The following is a 23736-nucleotide window of genomic DNA, read 5'->3' as shown; positions in this document are numbered from 1 at the left end:
ATCTAAATCCATGAAGCTTAAAGATTCCTAAAGAGGTTCAAACCAAATAGATACTCACCAAGTCACAATATAATCAAATAGTCAAAAGTTAAAGAAACTTTGCAGGTCAGGACAGAATCGAATAATACATTCAAAGTGCTGAAAGAAAAAAACTGCCAGCAACTAATACTATGTCTGACAAAGCTGTCCTTCAGAAAGGAAAAAGAAATAATGTGTTTCCTCGACAAACAAAGCTGAGGGCATTCAGGACCACTAGGTCTACCTTAAAAAAATGCTTAACGGAGTTTTTCAAGTAAAAATGAATGAAGTTGGGAGCGGTGGCTCATGCCTGTAATCCCATTTTGGGAGGCTGAGGTGGGTGGATCACCTGAGGTCGGGAGGTCAAGACCAGCCTGGCCAACATGGCAAAACCCCACCTCCAGTAAAAATACAAAAAATTAGCCAGGTATGAAGGCCACTGAGATCGTGCCACTGCACTCCAGCCTGGGTGACAAGAGTCAAACTACATTTCAAAAACAAAAAACAAAACAAACAAAAAAAACAAAACTTGAGGCCTGGCCTTCTGCTCCTCTCCAACCTCCCCTTCTCTGGGCCCAAGCCACCTTGGCTGAGGAGGGGGCGAGGAGGTGTGAGCCCCTGCCAGGAACCCCCTGCCCGGACCAAGTGCTCGGCCCCCAGGCCTGCGTTCAGTGAGGCCTCCCGTGGCGTCAGCATGTTCGTGTGGAGGAATGTGGAAGGTCACTCTGCGGCCGTGTTCTCCTGGTACTCCATCCCCTTCCTGACCCCTCCCTGCAGCCACACGAGGCCCAGCAACCTGCCAGTCACTCAGTGGCCTCCAACCAGAGAAAACAACCTGCCAAGTTGGCAGCCGTTGCTCATGAGCGTCCACCAGGTGGGACAGGGAGTGTTGACCCTGGGCAGCCCCCTGGAGCCACCTGCCCTGAAAGCCCAGGGCCCGCAACCCCACACACTTTGGGGGTGGTGGAACCTGGTAAAAGCTCACCTCCCACCATGGAGGAGGAGCCCTGGGCCCCTCAGGGGAGTCCCTGCTGGACAGTGAGACAGAGAATGACCATGATGATGCTTTCCTCTCCATCATGTCTCCTGACACCCAGTTGCCTCTACCACTCAGATGATGTCAGGCCCAGTCCCTCAGTGCCCTGCGCAAGGAACAGGACTCATCTTCTGAGAAGGATGGACGCAGCCCCAACAAATCAGACAAGGACCACATCCGGTGGCCCATGAGTGGCGCTCATGATCTTCAGCAGGCGGCACCAGGCCCTGGCGGGGCGCACCAGGGTCATCCCAACCAGGATAACCGGACCGTCAGCCAGATGCTGAGCGAGCGGTGGTACACCCTGGGGCCCAATGAGATGCAGAAATACAACCTGGCCTTCCAGGTGAAGGTGGCCCACTTGCAACAAGGACCGAAAGAAGTCCAGCTCAGAGGCCAAGCCCACAAGCCAGGGGCTAGCAGGAGTGTAACAAGGGCTCGTGGGAGCGGAGCATATCAGAGACGGGCACTGCCACTGCCCCTGGGGTGTCCTCTGAACTCCTGTCAGTTGCAGCCCAAACACTCCAGAGCTCGGATACCAAGGAGCAGCTTCTGTGGGGCAGAACGGCTGCACACAGTCAGGGAACCTGGCTCAGCCTGGCCCAAGCCTTCTCCCACAGCGGGGTACACAGCCTGGACGGCAGGGAAATAGACCGTCAGGCACTACGGGAACTGACACAGGTGGTGTCTGGCACTGCATCATACTCTGGCCCAAAGCCTTCTACTCAGCATGGAGCTCCAGGCCACTTTGCAGCCCCTGGTGAGGGAGGTGACCCGTGGGCAGCCCTGCTGCCGCCCACGTGAGCTGCTCATTCCCAGCACATGGCCAGCGAGGTCATAGCGAGTGACGAAGAGCACACGGTCATCCATGAGGAGGAGGGGGTGATGATGTCATTGCTGATGATGGCTTTAGCACCACCGACACCGATCTCAAGTTCAAGGAGTGGGTGACCGACTGAGAGTGGGGACAACTCTGGGGAGGAGCCAGAGGGCAACAAGGGCTTTGGTGGGAAGGTATTTGCACCTGTCATTCCTTCCTCCTTTACTCCTGCCGCCCCTTGCTGGATCCTGAGCCCCCAGGGTCCCCCGATCCACCTGCAGCTTTTGGCAGTCTATGGTCACACCCTGTCCTCCTCCTACACATACTCGGATGCTTCCTCCTCAACCTTGGCACCCACCTCCTTCTTACTGGGCCCAGGAGCCTTCAAAGCCCAGGAGTCTGGTCAACGCAGCAGAGCGGGCCCCCTACGGCCCCAACCCCTGGGGATGGGGGCCCAGGGACGCCTTCCAAGGTGGCCTGTTTCCTCCCAATGGATCCTGCCACCTTCTGGTGCAAGAGACCTGAAAGTGTGGGCGACCTGGAGCTACCAGGCTCCTCAGTCATCAGGGTCCCTCCCAATACTAAGGCTTTCCTAGGCAGGAGCTGGGCTGAGCCACCCGGGGGGCAGAGCCTGAAGAGAAACTGACTGGGCTTTCGGGGTCGGGGCAGAGGGAACCCCACGGACATGGATCCCACACTGGAGGACCCCACCGCGCCCAAATGCAAGATGAGAAGATGCTCCAGCTGCAGTCCAAAGCCCAACACCCCCAAGTGTGCCACGTGTGATGGGGACAGCTTCCCCTTTGCCTGTACAGGTGGAGAAGCCGAGGACAGGCTCAGGGAACCGGAGACCGAGAAGGCGCTGTCCTCTTCACTGCACGTACCCTGGACCAGTGCCGGCCCTGATCATGCAGCTCTTCCAGGCCCACTGCTTCTTCCTGTCCACTAGGCCACAGCCGCCCTCCAGGCCCACTATGCACACATCTTCCCCTCCAAGGTTTGTTCTGCCCCTGCCCTGACTCCCAGCCCTGTGGGGGTCCTGACCGCACCTCACCTGGCTCAGACTCTTGACGCTGCCCTGGCTGCCCCACCACTGCTTCTGCCCGAGAGTCACGTGAGGCTGAGAGTAGGGGCAGGGGCAGCAGTGGTGCCAGTTGGGGGGCGGTCCAGTGGGAGGAGCCTCAGCCTCGCAGGCTGCTCCGTGGGACTGATGACTGCATGATCTTCTGGGCACCTCACGGATCTTCAACTGCAGGTGAAACGGATGCTGGTGGTGGGTGCAGGGCCGCTGGGAGCTGCTGCATGGTTCCCAGAGGCTGGACTGAGGCAGGTGCCAACTGAAGCTGCTGGGGCAGCATGGGCAGGATGTTCTGCACACAAACCTTGGAGAAGAAGATGTGTGCATAGCAGGTCCACTGCTGCTGCCCCTGCCCTGACTCCCAGCCCTGCCTGACCCCACCTCAACCTGCTCAGGCTCTGGCACAACCCTGGCTGCCCTGCCACTGCCTCTGCCCCAGAGTTGGGGCCTTGACAGCCTGGTTGGAAGGGGACACCCCAGCCCTGCCTCAACACCTGGGGGTCTCCATAACTAGCACAGGCAGGTGGGCAACCCCAAAGATCCCAGGACTCACAGTACCCCCTGAGAACATGGACAGTATGTGGGGGTAGCAATGGAGGGCAGGATGGTTATCTTCTCCCAGGTGAAGCCATTTAATCCTTTCAGTTTGGGACGGAGTAAGGCCTTCCTCTTTTTTTTTTTTTTTTTTTTTTTTTTTTTTTTTGAGACCGAGTCTTGCTCTGTCGCCCAGGCTGGAGTGCAGTGGTGCGATCTTGGCTCACTGCAACCTCTTCCCGCCGGGTTCACGCCATTCTCCTGCCTCAGCCTTCCGGGTAGCTAGGATTACAGGTAGACGCTACCACGTCCGGCTAATTTTTGTATTTTTAGTACAGACGGGGCTTCATCATCTTGGCCAGGCTGATTTCGATCTCCTGACATTGTGATCTGCCTGCCTCCCCCTCCCAAAGTGCTGGGATTACAGGCGTGAGCCACCACGCCTGGCCAAGGCCTGCTCCTCTTATCTATACCCCCTACCCCTGCAGCTGTGCCGGGGGAAAGCTGGGCAGTTTCCCTCCTCCGAGCCCCTGTACATACCATGAATTGTGGGACCTTCAGAGCTTTTCACTTTTCGGAAAATAGCTCCTGCTGGGGCTACAAGATGGAGTGTGAAGAGGGCCTTGGGCCACAGGGAGGCGCCTGTGGACTAGGGGGAGTTCATGCACCCCTTCTTTCCCCAGAGGGGCTGGACTCAGGTGAGTATGGGGGTGGGGGCTCCTGCACTTCGACACAGGCAGCGGGAGGGTTTTCTCCCCATTCCCTCTGCACTCCCAACTTGAGCTATACTTTTTAAGAAAGTGATTCACCCTGCCTTTGCCCCCTTCCCCAGAACAGAACACGTTGATCGTGGGCGACATTTTTCATTGTGCCAAAAAGTTGCCATGACCGTCATTAAACCTGTTTAACACCAAATAATAAGGAAAATAAAATAAAAAACTCGGGCTTGACGCAGAAACTCACTCCAAATAAATTACCTACCAAAACATTTACATAATGGTGGAAATATTCCAAAATTCAATATTTTGGGATTTATACACAAAAGATAAACAAATTAGAGGCCAAGAGGCTGCCGGAAGGGAAAAACGGGGCCTGGAATGGCCGACGTGAGGAATGAGCTGGGCCTAAAGAGGCCACTGGCAGGCAGGAGCTGGACCTGCCGAAGTGGCCGAAAGGCAGGAGCTTTGGACTGGGGAGGCCGCAGTGAGGCGAGAGCTAGCTGGGCGTGGAGAGTCCGCTGTGAGGCCGAGGCCGAGGCCGGGCCCGTGCAGGCCTTCGAGAGGCAGGAGGCCGGGCCTGCAAAGGCCGACTGGAGATCAAGTTCTGCGCCTGAAGAGGCTGCCAAAAGTCAAAAGCAGGGCCTGCGAAGGCCGCCGAGAGCCATGAGCTGGGCTGGGCTGAAAGAGGCCACTGGGAGGCAGGAGGAGCTGGGCCTGGAGAGGCTGACTCGAGGAAGTTTTGCACCTGGAGAGGCCGTCGAGAGGACGGAGCTGGGCCCAGGGAGGCCGACTTGCTGCTCTTCCAGGCCCACTTCCAGGCCGACTTGAGGACGACTTGGGCCTGCAGAGGCCGCCGGGAGGCTGGAGCTAAGCCTGGAGAGACTGACTTCGGGACGATTTGGGCCTGCGGAGGCCGCCGGGAGGCCCAAGCTGGGCCTAGAGGAGCCCACCGACCGGAGGCCATTTGGGGCCTGCAGATGTCATCGGAGGGCCAGGAGCTGAGCCTGGAGAGGCCACCGCGAGGCCTGAGCTGGGCCTGGGGAGCTTGGCTTAGGGAAGTTGTGGGCCTACCAGGGCCGCTGGGAGCTGGGCAGGAGCTGAGTCCAAAGACGTTGTTGGGACCTGGAGTCGGGCCAGAGTCCGGCCTGGAGATGCAGCCGGGAGGAAGAGCTGGGCCCGGAGGGGGCGCCGGGAGGCTGCAAGTGGGTCTGAGAGGCCAACTTGAGGAGGCCTGGCTCTGCCTCCCGCATTGCCCAGCTGTTCCTCCTGGCTGCATCTCCCACCTCCCAGCAAACAAGCTCTTTTGGCTCAGCTCCCGCCTGCGTTTGTAGACCCCGAAGTTTCTGCAACCAAGCTCTTCAGACCCACATCCCTTCTCCCAGTGACTGAACAGTCCCAGCTCCGGCTGGAGAAGGGCGTCTGCAGACCCCGCTGTTGCCTCCCAGGGGAGTCTCCAGGCCCAGCTCTCGCCCCACCGCGACCTCCCAGGCCCAAGTCCCTGCCTACCTCCCAGCAGCCCGAGTGCGATCCTGTTCCTCCCTCACGGTGGCCTGTTGAGGCAGGGGGTCACGCTGACCTCTGTCCGCGTGGGAGGGGCCGGTGTGAGGCAAGGGCTCACACTGACCTCTCTCAGCGTGGGAGGGGCCGGTGTGAGGCAAGGGGCTCACGCTGACCTCTGTCCGCGTGGGAGGGGCCGGTGTGAGGCAAGGGCTCACACTGACCTCTCTCAGCGTGGGAGGGGCCGGGGTGAGGCAAGGGGCTCACGCTGACCTCTGTCCGCGTGGGAGGGGCCGGTGTGAGGCAAGGGCTCACACTGACCTCTCTCAGCGTGGGAGGGGCCGGGGTGAGGCAAGGGGCTCACGCTGACCTCTGTCCGCGTGGGAGGGGCCGGTGTGAGGCAAGGGCTCACACCGACCTCTCTCAGCGTGGGAGGGGCCGGTGTGAGGCAAGGGGCTCACGCTGACCTCTGTCCGCGTGGGAGGGGCCGGTGTGAGGCAAGGGCTCACACTGACCTCTCTCAGCGTGGGAGGGGCCGGTGTGAGGCAAGGGGCTCACGCTGACCTCTGTCCGCGTGGGAGGGGCCGGTGTGAGACAAGGGGCTCACACCTCTCTCAGCGTGGGAGGGGCCGGTGTGAGGCAAGGGGCTCGGGCTGACCTCTCTCAGCGTGGGAGGGGCCGGTGTGAGACAAGGGGCTCACGCTGACCTCTCTCAGCGTGGGAGGGGCCGGTGTGAGGCAAGGGGCTCGGGCTGACCTCTCTCAGCGTGGGAGGGGCCGGTGTGAGGCAAGGGGCTCACGCTGACCTCTGTCCGCGTGGGAGGGGCCGGTGTGAGGCAAGGGCTCACACTGACCTCTCTCAGCGTGGGAGGGGCCGGTGTGAGGCAAGGGGCTCACGCTGACCTCTGTCCGCGTGGGAGGGGCCGGTGTGAGGCAAGGGCTCACACTGACCTCTCTCAGCGTGGGAGGGGCCGGTGTGAGGCAAGGAGCTCGGGCTGACCTCTGTCCGCGTGGGAGGGGCCGGTGTGAGGCAAGGGGCTTGGGCTGACCTCTCTCAGCGTGGGAGGGGCCGGTGTGAGACAAGGGGCACGCTGACCTCTCTCAGCATGGGAGGGGCCGGTGTGAGACAAGGGGCTCGGGCTGACCTCTGTCCGCGTGGGAGGGGCCGGTGTGAGGCAAGGGGCTCACGCTGACCTCTGTCCGCGTGGGAGGGGCCGGTGTGAGGCAAGGGCTCACACTGACCTCTCTCAGCGTGGGAGGGGCCGGTGTGAGACAAGGGGCTCACGCTGACCTCTGTCCACGTGGGAGGGGCCGGGGTGAGGCAAGGGCTCACACTGACCTCTCTCAGCGTGGGAGGGGCCGGTGTGAGGCAAGGGGCTCACGCTGACCTCTGTCCGCGTGGGAGGGGCCGGTGTGAGGCAAGGGCTCACACTGACCTCTCTCAGCGTGGGAGGGGCCGGTGTGAGGCAAGGGGCTCACGCTGACCTCTCTCAAGCGTGGGAGGAGCCGGTGTGAGGCAAGGGCTCACACTGACCTCTCTCAGCGTGGAGTAGCCAGTGTGAGGCAGCGTCACGCTCTGTGCAGGGTCCAGAGGCATGAGTTGGCATCAACAGGCCACCGTGAGGGAGGAGCTGGGCGCACGCGGGCTGCTGGGAGGCAGGCAGGGACTTGCCCCGGGAGGCCGCCGTGGGTGCAAGAGCTTGGCCTGGAGAGGCCCCTGGGAGGCAAGGCGGGGCCTGCAGAGGCTGTTCTCCAACCAGTGCTAGAACTGTACAGGCCACCAGGAGGCAGGAGGTGGGCCCTCAGAGCTTGGCTGGAGAAAGTTCGGGGCCTACAAAGGCGGTTGGGAGCTGGGCAGGAGTTGAGCCAAAAGAGCTTGCTTACTTGCTGGGAGGCAGGGCCGGGAGAGCCCGACTTCAGGACAACTTGGGCCTGCGGCAGTCGCCGGGAGGCCCAACCTTGGCGTGGAGGAGCCCACCGACCGGAGACCATTTGGGGCCTGGAGATGCCATCGGAGGGCAGGAGCTCATCCTGGAGAGGCCACCGTGAGGCCTGACCTGGGCCTGGGGAGCTTGGCTTGAGGAAGCTGTGGGCCGACCAAGGCCGCCAGGAGATGGGTAGGCACTGAGTCCAAAGAGGTTGTTGAGAGGCAGGAATCGGGCCTGGAGACCCAACCAGGAAGAAGAGCTGGGCCCGGAGAGAACGCCCGGAGGGTGCAAGTGGGTCTGGAGAGGCTGACTTGAGGAGGTTCTGGGCCCGGAGAGGCCGCCGGAAGGGAAAAACTGGGCCTGGAAAGGCCGTTGTCAGGAATGAGCCCCATGGGCCTGAAGAGGCCACTGGCAGGCGGGAGCTGGGTGTGTAGAAGCTGCTGAAAGGTTGGGAGCTTGGCTTGGGGGGTCCACAGTGAGGTAGATGCTGGGCGTGAAGAATCTGCTGTGAGGCAGACGTTGGGACTGTAGAGGCTGACGGGAGGCAGAGGCTGGGCCTGGAGGGGCCACCAAGATGCAGGAGCTGGGCCTGGAGAGGCTGCAAAGAAGCATGAGCTGGGCCTGGTGAGGTCGACTTGAGAAAGTTCAGGGCCTGGAGAGAAGGCTGGGAGGCAGGAGCTGGGTCTAAAGAGGCCATTGTAACGATGGAGCTGTGCCTGTGGAGGCTGTTGTGAGGCAGTAGCCTCATCTGCGGAGGCTGCCGTGACGTAGGGTATGGGCCTAAATAGGCCATTGTGAGTCATGAGCTTGGTCTGTAGAGGCTGACTGGAGAAAGTTCTGGGCCTGGAGAGGCTGCCGGGAGGTAGGAGCTGGGCCAAAAGATGTAAGCACATTTGCATTTATTAGGCACTTTATTTCCATTATTACACTGTAATATATAATAAAATAATTATAGAACTCACCATAATGTAGAATTAGTGGGCGTGTCAAGCTTGTTTTCCTGCAACTGGATGGTCCCACCTGAGCGTGATGGGAGAAAGTGACAGATCAATAGGTATTAGACTCTCATAAGGACAGCGCAACCTCGATCCCTCACATGCACGGTTCACAACAGGGTGCGTTCTCCTATGAGCATCTAATGCTGCTGCTCATCTGAGAAGGTGGAGCTCAGGCGGGAATGTGAGCAAAGGGGAGTGGCTGTAAATACAGACGAAGCTTCCCTCACTCCCTCACTCGACACCGCTCACCTCCTGCTGTGTGGCTCCTTGCGGCTCCATGGCTCAGGGGTTGGGGACCCCTGCTCAAGTGCATCCAAAGCGACCCTTCCCACACCAGTCTTCACAGTGGTCAAGGGCAGCAACCACTTAGCTCCCAAGGCATGTGCCTCAGCTGGCATTTCGTCACAATCAACAGTAAGTGGTAGCTTGAGTCACTGTGAGGTCACCTACTGGAAATCACCAGCATCCCATTTCCCACTGGCAAAGAGCTCAGCACTGCCCCCTGGGAAACCAAACCTATGCCCAAATCCCATCTGTGTGGGTTTACCTCCTGGGACCCTTCCTAACATATTAGTCAGAGTCCAATCAGGAAGCATAAACCACTCAAAAGTTTAAAGTGGTAAAATTTAATACAGAGAATTATTCATTATAACAGGTGAACAGCATAATGAGAGATTGGCTAGCACAGAGTAAAGATAACTCTAGAGAATATGGGACTAGCCCAGGCCAGGCATGGTGGCTCATGCCTGAAATTCCAGCCATTACAGAAGCTAATGCAGGAGGATTGCTTAAGGCCAGGAGCTAGAGACCGCTCTGGACGACACAGTGAGACCCTGTCTCTATCCAAAAGAAGAAAAAAGTTAGCTGGGGGTGGTGGTGCACACTTGTAGTCCCAGCTACTCGGAATGCTGAAGTTTGAGCCTGGGAGGTCAAGGCTGCAGTGAGGCATGATTATGCCACTACAGTCCAGCCGGATGACAGAGCAAGACCCTGTCTCAAAGAACAAAACCACAACAACCATTTACAGACAGAAAAGAAATAGAGCTAATAAGCTGAGGAAAGATGTTGAAATGTGACAAGTAAAGTAATATGAGGTCTTTTGTCTATTTAAAATAATCAAACAAAAAATGGCTTACTAAATTATAATACCCTGTGCTGGCAAAGGTGCAGTGAAATGGGCACTTTCTTATACTATGAGGGGTGGTTAAATTGTGTATAAGCCTTCCAGGGTAAAGCCTGTCAATTTTTTAAAATAATGGAGACAGGGTCTCACCATACTGCCATACTGCCTCCTCCAACTCTTGGCCTCAAGCAATCCTCCTCTCTTAGCCTCCCAAAGTGCTAAGATTATAGCTGGGAGGCACCCAAAACCCTGTCAATTTACATCAAGGGTAAGGAGAATGTCCATTCACCATGACTCACAGTAATCTTACTTCTGGGGAGACAATTCAATCTAAGCAAAAGGTCATCTGTACACACACAGTAAAAATCTGGGAGTAACTGAAGACAGAGTTGGTAAGTGAAATAAGAAACAGTTATAAGAAATTAAACTATGGTATCAATAGGCACCTGGTAAAAGGTCAGTTGATGTTAGCTGCTACTTTTTTGTTGTTTTGAGACAGGGTCTCACTCTGTCACCCAGGCTGGAGTGCAGAGGCCTGATCATGACTCACTGCGGTCTCAGCCTCCCTGGGCTCAAGTGATCCTCCCACCTCAGCCTCCCAAGTAGCTGGGACTACAGGAACATGCCACCACACTAGGCTAATTCATGTATTTTTCTGTAGGGATGGTGACTCCCCCTTTGTTTCCAAGGCCTATCGCAAACTCTTGGCCTCAAGCCATCCTCCTGCCTCAGCCTCCCAAAGTGTTGCGATTACCAGTGTGAGCCACCACACCTGGCCAGCTGCTACTTTTATCAATATTATTCTTATTCCACTCAATTAAAAATTATTATTTTCAAGGCTATGCAACAGTATGTATCCTACAGCGTAATTGTAAAAACATACACAGTCGTCATCCCTCAGTATACAGAATTAGTTCCAGCCCCCCATCTCTGCATATACCAAAATCCATGCTTACTCACGTTTCGCTGTCACCCCTCTAGAATCCACGTATACGAAAATTCCAAATGTTAGTTGGGCATAGTGGCAAGCACCTGTAGTCTCAGCCACGTGGGAGGTTGAGGTGGGAGGATCGCTTCAGCCTGGAAGGTTGAGGCTGCAGTCAGCTGCGATAGCACTACTACACTCCAGCCTTGGACAACAGAGGGAGACCCTGTCTCAGAAAAAAATAAATAAATAAATAAAGCAGGTTAGAAACTGTGATGAGGTCTGCTGGGCAAAATTCCATATAAGCAAAGTATAAATTAATAAAGCAAATCGTGATAAATTAGTACGATTGACTTTCTGGAGTTTCTGACAATAAAAGTAAGGAAAATGCAGAACACAAAGACAGAGAGTAAAAAGAGAAATTAGGAAAGCATTCTACATGTTGAATAGGAAGACACTGGCCATGTTCGTGCAGCGGCAGTATGTCGTGACATGACATACCTTGGAGAGAAGTTAACAGATGAGGAAGTTGATAAAAATCATCAGAGAAGCAAAATACTGGTAGCGACACTCAAGTAAACCATGAAATTTCCATAACTTATGTCAGCAAAGTGGGAATATTGTACAGTGTGTGTTGAAGTTCCTATACAACATTGTTTATCTGCCTTTTGTTTGTTTGTAAGGAATGTATATACTAAAAGTTCTTCTTGCTGTCAAAAGAATATGCGTGAATAAGTCATTTTAACTTATTCTTCTGTTTTTCTTTTATCTTCCTGCCATCATCCCACAGCCTTACTTTAGAAATTTCTTTTTTAGAAAATTGAACAAGTGCTCCTTGTGGTGGCACATACCTCGAGGATGGGAGGCAGGGGTGGAAGGGTCACTTGAGGCCATTAGTTTGACACCAGCCTGGCCAAAAAAGTGAGACCCCGTGTCTACAAAACAATTTAAAAATTAGCCAAGTATCGTCATGTATACCTACAGTCCCAGCTACCTGAACTTACTGAGAAAGTTCAGGGCCTGGAGAGAAGGCTGGGAGGCAGGAGCTGGGTCTAAAGAGGCCATTGTAACGATGGAGCTGTGCCTGTGGAGGCTGTTGTGAGGCAGTAGCCTCATCTGCGGAGGCTGCCGTGACGTAGGGTATGGGCCTAAATAGGCCATTGAGAGTCATGAGCTTGGTCTGTAGAGGCTGACTGGAGAAAGTTCTGGGCCTGGAGAGGCTGCCGGGAGGTAGGAGCTGGGCCAAAAGATGTAAGCACATTTGCATTTATTAGGCACTTTATTTCCATTATTACACTGTAATATATAATAAAATAATTATAGAACTCACCATAATGTAGAATCAGTGGGCGTGTTAAGCTTGTTTTCCTGCAACTGGATGTTCCCACCTGAGCGTGATGGGAGAAAGTGACAGATCAATAGGTATTAGACTCTCATAAGGACAGCGCAACCCAGATCCCTCACATGCACAGTTCACAACAGGGTGCGTTCTCCTATGAGCATCTAATGCTGCTGCTCATCTGAGAAGGTGGAGCTCAGGCGGGAATGTGAGCAAAGGGGAGTGGCTGTAAATACAGACGAAGCTTCCCTCACTCCCTCACTCGACACCGCTCACCTCCTGCTGTGTGGCTCCTTGCGGCTCCATGGCTCAGGGGTTGGGGACCCCTGCTCAAGTGCATCCAAAACGACCCTTCCCACACCAGTCTTCACAGTGGTCAAGGGCAGCAACCACTTAGCTCCCAAGGCATGTGCCTCAGCTGGCATTTCGTCACAATCAACAGTAAGTGGTAGCTTGAGTCACTGTGAGGTCACCTACTGGAAATCACCAGCATCCCATTTCCCACTGGCAAAGAGCTCAGCACTGCCCCCTGGGAAACCAAACCTATGCCCAAATCCCATCTGTGTGGGTTTACCTCCTGGGACCCTTCCTAACATATAACCTTCATAACATACTTGAGAGGCTGAGGTGAGACAATCGATTTAGCCCAGGAGTTTGAGATCAGCCTGGACGACATAACTAAATCTCATCTCTACAAGGACGAGGTGGGAGGATCACTTGAGCCCAGGAATTTGTGGCCAGCCTGGGCAACAAAAGAAGACCCCATCTGGCCAACATGGCCAACCTGGCCACCACGGTGAAACTCTGACTCTACAAAAATGATCTGGGCATGGGTGACATGCGTGTGTAGTCCTAGCTACTTGGGAGGTTGAGATGGGAGGATTGCTTGATCTCAGAAGGCCAAAGCTATAGTGAGCTATGATCACATCACTGCACTCCAGCCTGGATGGCACAGGAAGATTCTGTCTCAAAAAAAAGAAAAGAAATATATATTTAATCTCTGTCCCTGGTTCCTGGCACAGAGCTTCTAAAGCTCTTACAAAGACCTCAGTGATAGATGTGACAGGAGCATCTTTTGTTTTAATATTTGGTCTTGGTCCCAGGTTTCTAACACAAGAGCCTCTAAGAACTTTGGGATCTCCAGCATGGTAAGAATGCATTTGGGGATGTTGTTGAGATGACTGGGTGACTGCAAGCTCCTAAATTTCTTCAAGAGGAGGGCTGATTACCATGCAACCACATGGTAAGAGGCTTGGAACTTTCAGCCTCATGCACTGAACTCCAGGGGGAAGAGGGGCTGGAGACTGACTTAATCACCAACAGCCAAAGGTTTTATCAATCATGCTTGCATAATAAAGCCTCCATAAACACCCTGAAAGGGGTTTGCAGAGCTTTCAGGGTTGCTGGACACAGGAGATGCTGGGAGGGTCGCATGTTCAACAGAGGGCATGGGAGCTCTGTGCCCCTCCGAACTTAACTTGCCCTGGGTATCTTTCTTTTTTTTGAGACAGGATCAGGCTCTTTTGTCCAAGCTGGAGTGCAGTGGCACAATCTCAGCTTACTGTAACCTAAGCCTCCCCAGTCCCCAGCTCAAGGTATCCTCTCATCTCAGCTTCCCTAGTAGTTGGAACTCTAGGTGCACAACACCACACCAGTTATTATTATTATTTTTTAATTTTTTATAGAGACAGGTTTTCACCATGTTGCCCAGGCTGGTCTCAAACTCCTGAGTTTAAGCGATCCTCCCACCTTGGCCTCCCAAAGTGCTGAGATTACAGGCATGAGCCACTGCATCCAGCATGCACGTCTCTTTCATTGACTGTTTCTGAGATGTATCCTTCACAATGAACCAGTAATAGGAAATGAACTGGCCAGATGTGGTGGCTCACATCTGTAATCCCAGCACTTTCAGAGGCTGAGGTGGGAGGATCACTTGAGACCAGGAATTTGTGGCCAGCCTGGCCAACACAACAAGACCCCATCTATACAAAAAATAAAAGAAACTAGCCAGATGTGGTGGTGCAGGCATGTAGTCTCAGCTACTAGGGAGGCTGAGGTGGGAGAACCACTGGAACCCAGACAATCAAGGCTGCAATGAGCTATGACTGCACCATTGCACACCAGCCTGGGCAACAAAATAAGACCCTCTCTCTCAGAAAAAAAGAAAATAAACTGTTTTTCTGAGTTCCGTAAACTGTTCTAGCAAATTATTAAACCCAAGAAGACAGTTACGGGAACCCCCGATTGGTAACAGGTTGGTCAAAAGTATGGTGACAACTTAGGACTTGCCATTGTCATCTGAAGTGAGGATGGCCTCGTGGGACTGAGCCCCTAACTTGTGGGGTCTGTGCTAACTCCAGGTAGTGTCAGAATAAAGTCATGGGATACCCAGTTAATATCCAGAGCACTGAAGAATCTGGTGTAGAAACTCCATACGTACATTCAGTCGGAAGTGTGTGAGTAGAGACAAACATGGGCTTTTCTGTCACCTACCTGCTTAACTGCATAGGAGAGGCAATATGTGGTGCTCATGAACAAAGCAAACATTAAAGTCAGACCAGACCCAACATTTGACTCAGTCTTAATATCCAGGTGAGCCTGCGCAAATCATTCATTATTCCTAAGGTTTTCATCACTCCATTCATAAAATGGGGATAACTGTGGCACCTACATGTGATTCTGTGAGAATTAACGAAATATTATGCTTGGGGTTATTGTGATCATTATACCTGTTCCAAACTATTTGACAAGGACAGTGATGGATGAAGACATCAAAAAATCAGAAACTGCAATGAGGTCTCTCAGGCAAAATTCCATACAAGCAAATTACTGTGTCTACAAAGCATTCCTGCCACACTTAATTCACCATTCCCTGAACAGAATATGCCATCTTCGTTGTTCAGGTCTGTACAGTGCTGGTTTCCCTTCCCGGACAGTTTGCGCTATCCCATCCCGGCCCATTCCCCATCCCTCCACCTCCCCCTTCCCTCCCCACTCTCATACAACTCTTCCTCATCTTTCAGGACTTGGCTTCAATGTCACCTTAACTGGAAGCTTCTCTCACTCTCCAGAAGAGCTTCCCATTGCACCTGATGCATGGGAAACATAATTTGATCATTTTTAAGTTACAGTCCAAATCTTTTTGTACCTGAATAACATGTTGCCCAGTCAGTCTCTCTTCCTGGATTCACAAGTCTTTCATGGTAGATCCAGCTGGAAGTGACAAAAAGACATCTTTTGACATAAAGGGATGACACAGACAGACATAAGTTCTTAAATGTCTTAAATGTTATGTGAGAATTAAACAGAATTCAAAGACTTGTGGGGAGCACTTAGGAAGTTACTGGGAATGTCATGAAGGGTTAATTTGTATTTTATTTTATTTTTTGAGACAGTCTCATTCTGTCACCTAGGCTGGAGTGCAGTGGTGCAATCAGGCTCACTGCAGCCTTGACCACCTGGGCTCAAGTAATCTCACTTAATTTTTATTTGGTTTAAGAAAGTCTTGGTTGAGGGTGGTGGCTTATGCCTGTAATCTCAGCACTTTGGGAGGCTGAGAGAGGTATATTACTTGAGGCCAGGAGTTTGAGATCAGACTGGGCAATATATTAAGACCCTGCCTCTACCAAAAAACAGAGTGAATGTGTGGAAGACAATTTTTCCACAGACTGGGAATGAGGGAATAATTTCAGGATGATTCAAGTGCATTACATATATTGTGCACTTTATTTCTATTATTACTACATAGTAATATATAATGAAATGATTCTACAACTCACTATAACGTAGACTCAGTGGGATCTCTGAGCTTGTTTTCCTGCAACTAGACTGTCCATCTGGGGTGATGGGAGACAGTAACAGAATATCAGGCATTAGATTCTCATAAGGAGTACACAACCTAGATCCCTCGCATGCACACTTCACAACAGAGTTTGTGCTCCTGTGAGAATCTAATGCTGCTGCTGATCTGACAGGACATGGAGCTCAGGTGGTCATGCAAGCGATGGGAGGGGCTAGAAATACAGATGAAGTTTCCCTTCACTCGCCTGCTGCTCACCTCCAGCTCTGTGGCCCTGTGGTTGGAGACCGCTGCTCAAGTGCATTTGAAAGGAACCAACCCACGCCATTCTTCAGAGTCATCTTTACTGCTGCAGTGGTCAACTTGTAGCACCCCTAAGCTCGCAGGACATATGCTTCAACTGGCATTTCACAATCAACAGTATGTGGCAGCTTGAGTCATTGTGAGCTCACATCCTGGAAATCACCAGCATCCCATATCCCATTGCAAGGAGCTCAGCACTGCTCCTTGGATAACCAAACCTATTCCCAAATCCCATCTGTGTGCGTCTATCTCCTGGTACCCTTCCTAGCATCAATTCTGTATTTGTAGGAGTCCAATCAGGAGACACAAACCACTCAAAAGTTTAAACTAGAATGAGCAAGATGGCTCACACCTGTAATCCCAGAACTCTGGGAGGCCAAGGTGGGTGGACTGCTTTGAGCTCAGGAGTTTGAGAACAGTCTGGGAAACATGGCGAAACCTCGTCTCTACAAAAAACACAAAAATCAGCTGGGTGTGGTGGCACTTACCTGTAATCCCAGCTACTCGGGAGGCTGAGGCAGGAGAATTGCTTGAGCCTGGCAGGTGGAGGCTGCAGTGAGCAGAGGTTGTGCCACTGTACTCCAGCCTGGGTGACAGTGTGAGACCCGGTATCAAAAAGAAAAAACGTATATATATATATATATATATATATATATATATGTAAATTTAATATAAAAAGTATTAATTTTGGCCAGGCAAAATGGCTCATGCCTGTAATCCCAGCACTTTGGGAGGCCAAGGCAGACAGATCACCTGAGGTCAGGAGTTCGAGACCAGCCTGACCAGCACAGAGAAACCCCATCTCTACTAAAAATACAAAATTAGCTGGGCATGGTGGCACATGCCTGTAATCCCAACTACTCGGGAGGCTGAGGCAGGAGAATTGCTTGAACCCAGAAGGTGGAGGTTGCGCTGAGCCGAGATAGCGCCATTGCACTCCAGCCTGGGCAACAAGAGTGAAACTCCATCTCAAAAAAAAAAAAAGGTATTAATTTTTACAGAGGATCAGCACAATGAGGGACACACTAGCACAAAGTAAAGACAACTCTAGAGAATACGGAACTAGCAGAGGCCAGGCATTGTGGCTCATGCCTGTAATCCCAGCAATTTGGGAAGCCTAGGCAGGAGGATCGCTTGAGGCCAGGAGTTGGAGACCAATCAGTGCTAAATAGTGAGACTCTGTGTCTACCAAAAAAAAGAGACATTAGCCAGGTGTGGTGGTGGTGCACACCCGTAGTTCCAGCTACTTGGGAGTCTGGGGTGGGAGAAATCCCTTGAGCCTGGGAAGTCTACACTACAGTGAGCCAAGATTGTGCCACTGCACTCCAGCCTGGGCGACAGAGTGAGACCCTGTCTTAGAAAGAAAAAAGAAAAGAAAGTGTTAATCCCCCTATGGGAATCTCCTCTTCTCCTGCCCTCTCTGGAACCTCACTTGTCAGTTCTTCCTCCCACTTTCCTGTATCTTTAACCTATCCCCCACTTTTAGCTCCTTCCCATCATCATTTAAATTACTCAAACTTCTTCTGTTTTAAAAACCTCTCCCTAAACTCAGGGAGAGGTCTTCTGCACACACATTGAGCCATCTGCTCTTCCCGGTGCCTTCTCTACAGCAGCCTGAGCCATGTCTCTAATCTATGAATCTCATCATGTTACTCCCCCATTTACATCACTTCTCCTTGCCTCAGGGATTAAGTCCAAACTCCTTAACAGCCCCTGCTCTGCCCTGCCTTGCAAGGCAGCCTCACTGCTTGCCCCTCTCCATTTCATCTGCTATGGAGTCCAACTGAGCCTCATCTGCCCCTTGAACGCACACTCTTTCTCCTCTGGGAGTCTCTGAAGTGGGTAATATCCTCTGCTTATAATATGCTTCCCCTTAAACCTCTACTCTCTTCCTAGCTAGCTTTGACTCCTCTGTCACTTGTCCGCTTTGGCATCACCTCCTCATAGAAGACTTCTATGACTCCCGAGATTCTCAGGAGCATGGCAGGTGAAGTGCTCCTCCCATGAATGGATGGAGATTAGGGAGTGTGTGTTATTCATGCTTAATTCACCAGTGCTTAGCTGAGTACCTGGCATAAAATAGTTACTGTGGTGGCCAAAGTAATAACCCCCACCGCCACCAATTGCTCATGTCCTATGTTACACAGCACAGTTACAGAGGAAGGGGGAATTAAGAGTGCAGATAAAATTAATGTTGCTCATCAGCTGACCTTAAAACAAGATTATCCTGGAGTATCTAGGAGAGCCCATGTAATTACAAGCATTCTTTAAAACTGGAAGAGGGAGGCAGAAGGTTAAGAACCAGAGACGGTGGGCACAATGGCTCATGCCTGTAATACCAATACTTTGGGAGGCCAGGGTAGGAAAATCCCTTGAGTGCAGGAGTTCAAGGTCAGCCATGGCAACATACTGAGGTCCCATCTCTACAACAAAATAAAAACAAAATTCACTGAGTGTCACGATGCTTACCTGTAGTCCCAGCTACTGGGAAGGCTGACATGGTAGGATTGCTTGAGCCTGGGAGTTTGAGGCTATAATGAGCCATGATAGGACCACTGAACTCCATCCTGAGTGACAGGGCAAGGTCCTGTTTCTGAAGAAAAAAAGGACATTGGAATCAGGGCCCTCTCCATCCTGAGGTGCCTACAAGGCATCTCTCTCTGCAAACGAGTAAACATCACCCTCCAACTCCTTACAGAGTGGAGCAACAGGAAAACTCCTTCACCTCATTTCTGTGCTGCTTGGGAGGCCTGGACAGCCCAATAACCAGCTCCTCGCTGATGAAGCAATCAGGAAATGGCTCGAGTTGAGCTAAGGAGAATTTGGATCCTTCCTTTGGTTCTCAGTAGGCAGGGTAGGGGCCAGGCATGGTGGCTCATACCTGTAATCCTTGCACTGTGGGGGGCCAAGGTGAGAGGATTGCTTGAGGCCAGGAGCTCAAGACCAGCCTGGACAACATAGCAAGACCTGGGTGGCACACACCTGTGGTCCCTACTACTTGGTAGGATGAGGTGGGAGGATTGATCACTTGATCCCAGGAGTTTCAGGCTGCAGTGAGCCATGATCACACCACTGCACTTCAGCCTGGGTGACAGAGCCAGACCATGTCACAAAAAGTTAGAAAAAAAAAAGAGAGAGGGAGAGAGACTATACACAGGCACCACCACATTTGGCTAATTTTTAAATATTCTGTAGAGACAAGGTCTTGCTAGGTTGCCCAGGCTAGTCTAAAACTCCTGGCATCAGGCTGGGCATGGTGGCTCATGCTTGTAATCGCAGCACTTTGGGAAGCTAAGGCAGGCAAATCACCTGAAGTCTGGAGTTCGAGACCAGCCTGGCCAACACGGTGAAACTCTGACTCTATCAAAAATACAAAAATCAGCTGGGCAGTAGTGGCGTGTGCCTGTAGTCTCACCTACTCGGGAGGCTGAGGCAGGAGAATCACTTGAACCTGGGAGGTGGAGGTTGCAGTGGACCCCATCACTGCACTCCACCCTGGGTGACAGAGCGAGACTGTCAACAACAACAACAACAACAAAAACAAAAACAACAACAACAAAAAAAACTCCTGGCATCAAGACATCTTCCTGTCTTAGCCTCCCAAAGCCCTGGGATTATACTGTTTCCTATAATTGAAGACACTTGTTCTTATACTGCTTTAAGGTATAAAGGAAGAAAAAAAAAACAGATAATGGCAAATGTTGGTGAAGGCCGGGCATGGTGGCAGCCTGTAATTCCAGAACTTAGGGAGGCTGAGGTGGGCAGATCACTTGAGGCCAGGAGTATGAGACCAGCCTGGGCAACATGGTAAAATCCCACCACTACAGAAAAATATAAAAATTAGCCAGGCATGGTGGCGTACACCTGTAATTTTCAGCTACCCAGGAGGCTGAGATGAGAGAATCACTTGTGCCTGGGAGGTCACGGCTGCAGTGAACTGTGATGGCATCATTGCACTGCGGCCTGAGAGACAGAGCAAGCCCCTATCTAGAAAAAAAAATGTCAGTGAAGATGTGGAGGAATTGGAACCCACATACATTACTGGTGGGAACATAAAATTGTGTAACCATTTTGTTTGGGTATTTCTTTTCTTGTCATTTTAATTGGATTTTTAAAAAATCAAGACGGGGTTTCACTATCTTGCCCAGGCTGGTCTTGAATTCACGGGCTCAAGCCATCCTCCTAGCTGAGCCTCCTGAGTAGCTGGGATTACAGGTGTGAGCCATTGCACCCAACTGGTATAGCCACGTTAGAAAACATTCTGGCAGTTTCTCAAAAGGCTAAATGTACAGTCATCCTATAATGCAACAATTTCACTCCTAGGCATATATCCCAGAAAAATAAAAATATATGTCCACACAAAAACTTGTACAACAATCTTCATAGCAGCATTATTCATAATGACCAATACATGGAATACATGGAAACAACCCAAATATCCACCAACTGATGAACAGATAAACAAAATGCAGTGTGTCTCTACCATGGAATACTGCCATAGAAGGAATGAAATATTGATACACACTATGACATAAAGGAACTTTGAAAACACTGTGCTAAGAGGGAAAAAAAGCCACAAAAGATCACATATTGTACAATTCTATTTGTCCAGATTAGGCAAATCTATAGTGACAAAAAAATTAATCAATGGTTGCCTAAGGCTGGGGGCAAAGGTAGGTGGGGAGAGTAGGAGGTAGTGGCTAAGGGGTATGGATTTCTCTATAGGGTAATGAAAGGTTCTAAAAGTGACTGTGGTGATCGATGCACAGCTCTGTGAATATTCTAAAACCTACTGAATTGCAGATTTCAATAAATAAAGTGAATGGTATGTGAATATTTTAATAAAGCTATTATTTAAAATAATAATAATAGGGGGCTGGGCACAGGTGGTCATGCCTGCCTGTAATCCCAGCACTTTGGGAGGCTGAGGCAGGAGGATCACTTGAGGTCAGGAGTTTTGAGCCCAGTCGGAGCAACATGGCAAGATCCCGTCTCTATGATAAAAAATTACCTGGACATGGTGGCACATGTCTGTAGTCCCAGCTACTTGGGAGACTGAAGTGAGAGAACCACTTGAGCCCAGGAGTTTGAGGCTACAGTGAACCATGATCATGTCACTGTACTGTAGCCTAAGCAACAGAGCAAGACGCTGTCTCTGAAAAGGAAAGAAAACAAATGCAAGTTTTTATCACTTTGTGAGTGTAGCCAAGTTGGAGGAGAAATAGACAATAATAAAAGAGCACTGAATAATGACAGTGAGTGGCTGGTTAGGCTCAGTTGCTAGCTAAATGGCTTCTAAAAAATTCAATAAAGTTACAGCTCTGGGGACAGTCATGTAGTCAAAGAATGAAGGCGAAATTCATTACAATTGCCCATGGTCTTTATTTACATGCCTTCTAGTGAAAAATTCCTAAGTGCCTAAACAGCAAGTCTGCAATGATAGCAGCTGTTTATTAAAGACTACAAAAAAGAAATGGAGGCCGGGCGTGGTTGTTCACATCTGTACTCCTTGAATTTTGGGAGGCTGAGGCAGGCAGATTGCCTGAGGTCAGGAGCTCCAGAGGAGCCTGGCCAACATGGTGAAATCCCATCTCTACTAAAAATACAAAAATTAGCTGGGTATGGTGGCGGGCACCTGTAATCCCAGCTACTCGGGAGGCTGAGGCAGGAGAATTGCTTGAACCCAGAAGGTGAAGGTTGCAGTGAGCCAAAATCGCACCATTGCACTCCAGCCTGGGTGACAAGAGAAAGACTCTTATCTTAAAAAAAAAAAGAAAAAAAAGAAATGGCATCTTCTTCAAGAATTACATCGTGTTTCATGATAAAGAAGCTCTAATTTTGCATTTGTTCAAGTATTGATGAGATTTACCCAATATGACACCCATCTTGGATAAAATGCAAACAACACAATTTCATTTTCTCATTAACAAAACCGATTAAGTAGTCTAATATAAATTGCGATCTTATTAAAAACTGATCCGATTTAAAAAATTATGGAATTATGGAGCCAATAAGATGTTACAACCTGTTCCAAGGGAAATTCCAAAATCCACACATATCTGAGACCATCAAGTATGATGAAATATATTTGATTACTATATTGAAAAATAAACTGATTACATAGCCAACAATTGGACAGGGGTCTCCTCATCCACAGCCACACAAACCCGATCATGCAGCTGTATGGTTACAAGGCCTACATAGCCTAGAAGGGACTGGTCTGACTTGAGATTTCATTTGTATTTGTATTTTGAGACAGGGTCCCACTCTGTCACCCAGGATGGAGTGCAGTGGTATAATCATAGCTCACTGCAACCTTGACCAACTGGGCTCAAGAGATGCTCCTGCCTCAGCTGCCCCCATACCTGGGAATACAGGCAAGTACCACCATGTCAGGCATTTTTTTCATTTTTGTAGAGAGAGAAGACTTGCTATGTTGCCCAAGCTGGCCTCAAACTCCTAGAATCAAGAGATCTGCCCATCTCAGCCACATGAGTAACTGGGGCCATAGGTACATACCATCATGCCTGGCTATATTTATTTTCTTTTATTAAATTTATTTTTTTTATTTTTGTAGAGAGGAGGTCTTGCTGTGTTGCCCAGGCTGCTCTCAAACTCATGGCCTTAAAACATACTCCCATCTCTGCCTCTCAAACTGTTGGAACTATAGGTGTGAGCCACTGTACCTGGCCTGACTTGGGATTTCTTTTATCTAGCATCCTTTACTTGGTAGGATTGGGAAAAGCAGTAGTGTTTTTTAAAATTACTTAATAATTCAATCAGAATCAAACTCAACCTTGACCACTGCCTTCTCTCACAGCTCACATCCAGTCTGTCAGGAAATCCTACTGACTGACTTCAACATGTATCCAGGCTCTAACCATCTCTCACCACCACCATGAACCCCGTCAGGATCACTATCATCTCCCACCGGGATGTTGCCACAGCTTGGCTCCCATGCTTCTACCCAAATCTTCCCATAGTCTTTCTCAACTCGGCAGCCAGGTCGTGCTTTTAAATCAGGAGACGGATCATGTCGCCTCTCTGCTCAGAAGCCCTCGGTGGTTCCCATTTTAGTCAGAGCAAAAGCCAAAGCCCCAGCAATAGCGTCCCAGGGCTTACACGATCTGTACCGATCCCAGCCCAGCAACTCCCTGGCCTCCTCGCTGACTTCGCTCCATCTCTTTGCTCCACTGGCCTCCTTCCAGAGCCTCAGACACACCAGAGAGTTTCCTCCTAATGCCTTTATCCTGTTGACTCAGCCTACAATGCTCTTCCCTCAGCACCTTGGCCAGCTCCATCACCTGCTTCAAACTTTTGCTCAATATTCACTTATGAGGCCAACCCTGACCACTCTACTTAACACTGCCATCTGTCCCCATTCCCACCATGCTCATTTCTTTCTTTCTTTTTGAAACAAGATCTTGCTTTATTGCCCAGGCTGGAGTACACTGGTGCAATCACAGCTCACAGCAACTTCAACCTCCCAGGCTTAAACAATCCTCCCGCCTCAGCCACCCTAGGAACTGAGACTACAGCTGCATGCCACAACACATGGCTTTTATTTTTTTTTTTTTGAGACGGAGTCTCGGTCGCCCAGGCTGAAGTGTAAGGGTGCGA

The 23736-nt window shown here is 51.0% G+C and overlaps 1 long non-coding RNA gene and 2 pseudogenes across 1 annotated transcript in view, besides 1 other annotated feature; 1 reads left to right on the top strand and 2 right to left on the bottom strand.

The window, feature by feature from the left end:
* CICP6 (capicua transcriptional repressor pseudogene 6) lies at nucleotides 623-4397 on the top strand (annotated as a pseudogene).
* The window catches only part of FAM157A (family with sequence similarity 157 member A), a 69308-nt gene continuing 50031 nt past the window's right edge, over nucleotides 4460-23736 (bottom strand). Inside the window, exons 12-18 of the long non-coding RNA NR_146164.1 lie at nucleotides 18586-18709; nucleotides 16605-16702; nucleotides 16072-16268; nucleotides 15163-15227; nucleotides 10711-10901; nucleotides 8592-8649; nucleotides 4460-8498 (exon numbers count right to left, since the gene is read on the bottom strand). This is a non-coding gene — a long non-coding RNA (family with sequence similarity 157 member A). The remainder of the gene's footprint in view (nucleotides 8499-8591; nucleotides 8650-10710; nucleotides 10902-15162; nucleotides 15228-16071; nucleotides 16269-16604; nucleotides 16703-18585; nucleotides 18710-23736) is intronic.
* Nucleotides 5610-6533: an enhancer, noted in NCBI's record as "OCT4-H3K27ac-H3K4me1 hESC enhancer chr3:197947311-197948234 (GRCh37/hg19 assembly coordinates)". NCBI's record gives its function as "activates a minimal SCP1, AML or CMV promoter by ChIP-STARR-seq in naive H9 embryonic stem cells {active_cell/tissue: H9 hESC(naive)}" and the evidence as "EXISTENCE:reporter gene assay evidence [ECO:0000049][PMID:30033119]".
* LOC100133150 (uncharacterized) lies at nucleotides 7276-11836 on the bottom strand (annotated as a pseudogene).

Source organism: Homo sapiens, chromosome 3 (genome assembly GCF_000001405.40).
Source record: "Homo sapiens chromosome 3, GRCh38.p14 Primary Assembly".
Classification (NCBI taxonomy): Eukaryota; Metazoa; Chordata; class Mammalia; order Primates; family Hominidae; genus Homo; species Homo sapiens.
Note: the sequence above shows the minus strand (reverse complement) of the source record. Positions and strands in the feature narration are given on the sequence as shown.